The sequence below is a fragment of the Homo sapiens genome, chromosome 5 (genome assembly GCF_000001405.40).
Source record: "Homo sapiens chromosome 5, GRCh38.p14 Primary Assembly".
In the NCBI taxonomy this organism is placed as follows: domain Eukaryota; kingdom Metazoa; phylum Chordata; class Mammalia; order Primates; family Hominidae; genus Homo; species Homo sapiens.
Genome location: NC_000005.10, coordinates 51303600 through 51306042, shown reverse-complemented (window position 1 = coordinate 51306042; position 2443 = coordinate 51303600). Strand labels below are relative to the sequence as shown.

At 46.7% G+C, this 2443-nt stretch overlaps 1 annotated feature.

Annotated features, from left to right (window-relative positions):
* Window positions 612-1112: an enhancer, noted in NCBI's record as "H3K4me1 hESC enhancer chr5:50600765-50601265 (GRCh37/hg19 assembly coordinates)". NCBI's record gives its function as "activates a minimal SCP1, AML or CMV promoter by ChIP-STARR-seq in naive H9 embryonic stem cells {active_cell/tissue: H9 hESC(naive)}" and the evidence as "EXISTENCE:reporter gene assay evidence [ECO:0000049][PMID:30033119]".

Here is a 2443-nt window from a genome sequence, read left to right as displayed (position 1 = left end):
TTGGTTCCATTCTCCCTGTCACTTTCAGGTACACCAGTCAGACATAGATTTGGTCTTTTCACATAGTCCCATATTTCTTGGAGGCTTTGTTCGTTTCTTTTTATTTTTTTTTCTCTAAACTACCCTTCTCACTTCATTTCATTCATTTCATCTTCCACCACTGATACCCTTTCTTCCATTTGATCGCATCGTCTCCTGAGGCTTCTGCATTCTTCATGTAGTTCTCGAGCCTTGGCTTTCAGCTCCATCAACTCCTTTAAGCACTTCTCTGTATTGGTTATTCTAGTTATACATTCGTCTAAATTTTTTCAAAGTTTTCAACTTCTTTGCCTTTGGTTTGAATTTCCTCCTGTAGCTCGGAGTAGTTTGATCGTCTGAAGCCTTCTTCTCTCAACTCGTCAAAGTCATTCTCCGTCCAGCTTTGTTTCTTTGCTGGTGAGGAACTGCGTTCCTATGGAGGAGGAGAGGTGCTCTGCTTTTTAGAGTTTCCAGTTTTTCTGTTCTGTTTTTTCCCCATCTTTGTGGTTTTATCTACTTTTGGTCTTTGATGATGGTGATGTACAGATGGGTTTTTGGTGTGGATGTCCTTTGTGTTTGTTAGTTTTCCTTCTAACAGACAGGACCCTCAGCTGCAGGTCTGTTGGAGTTTGCTAGAGATCCACTCCAGACGCTGTTTGCCTGGGTATCAGCAGCGGTGTCTGCAGAACAGTGGATTTTCGTGAACCGCTAATGCTGCTGTCTGATCGTTTCTCTGGAAGTTTTGTCTCAGAGGAGTACCTGGCCATGTGAGGTGTCAGTCTGCCCCTACTGGGGGGTGCCTCCCAGTTAGGCTGCTCAGGGTCAGGGGTCAGTGACCCACTTGAGGAGGCAGTCTGCCTGTTCTGAGGTCTCCAGCTGCATGCTGGGACAACCACTGCTCTCTTCAAAGCTGTCAGACAGGGACATTTAAGTCTGCAGAGGTTACTGCTGTCTTTTTGTTTGTCTGTGCCCTGCCCCCAGAGGTGGAGCCTACAGAGGCAGGCAGGCCTCCTTGAGTTGTGGTGGGCTCCACCCAGTTCTAGCTTCCTGGCTGCTTTGTTTACCTAAGCAAGCCTGGGCAATGGCAGGCGCCCCTCCCCCAACCGCGCTACTGCCTTGCAGTTTGATCTCAGACTGCTGTGCTAGCAATCAGTGAGACTCCGTGGGCATAGGACCCTCCGAGCCAGGTGCGGGATATAATCTCCTGGTGTGCCGTTTCCTAAGCCTGTCGGAGAAGCACGGTATTCGGGTGGGAGTGACCCGATTTTCCAGGTGCCGTCTGTCACCCCTTTCCTTGACCAGGAAAGAGAACTCCCTGACCCCTTGCGCTTCCCGAGTGAGGCAATGCCTCGCCCTGCTTCGGCTCATGCACAATGCGCTGCACCCACTGTCCTGCGCCCACTGTCTGGCACTCCCTAGTGAGATGAACCCGGTACCTCTGATGGAAATGCAGAAATCACCCATCTTCTGCGTGGCTCACGCTGGGAGCTGTAGACTGGAGCTGTTCCTATTCGGCCATCTTGGCTCCTCCTCCCTCATTTCTATTCTTATTTATCCAACATTAAATCCTCTCCTTAGATTTTCCAAACATAAAATTTCAGAAGTTATTATGCAAAGTTACATAAAATTCAGGTTGCACAAGTTATACATAAAAAATGTAAGGATTTTTAAAGCTCTTCACTGCCCAAATACACTTATTTAGTTAAATTAGTTGCTCTTTCTTGGCCAACATCTTTTCCATTAAAAAAGTAAAGGTTGGCCAGGCGCGGTGGCTCACGCCTGTAATCCCAGCACTTTGGGAGGCCGAGGCGGGCGGATCACCAGGTCAGGAGATCGAGACCATCCCGGCTAAAACGGTGAAACCCCGTCTCTACTAAAAATACAAAAAATTAGCTGGGCATAGTGGCGGGCGCCTGTAGTCCCAGCTACTTGGGAGGCTGAGGCAGGAGAATGGCGTGAACCTGGGAGGCGGAGCTTGCAGTGAGCCGAGATCCTGCCACTGCACTCCAGCCTGGGCAACAGAGCAAGACTCCGTCTCAAAACAAAAAGTAAAGGTTGGTGATTTGGACTCCCTCAATCAAGAAGAGGATCTGGCTTTTCTAGTCAGATTCTTGCTTCTGCTATCACTGCCACTTCCCTAATGGGTTGAGATTGCACGTTTTGTAAATCTGAACTGATGACTGCTGAGAGAACTAACGCTTTCACTAAACCATTCCCCAAAGTAGTAACAATGAAAAATACTAATATACTACTTATTATGAGCCATTCTTTTAAATGCTTTATGTGATTAACTTGACAAAATATGAGGTTACTTTCTATTTTTACCCCCATTTCATCAATAAAAATCAATAAAAAACTGCGGCACAGAGATACGCATGACATTTTTCTTTTCTCTCTCTCTCTTTTTTTTTTTTTTTTTTTTGTG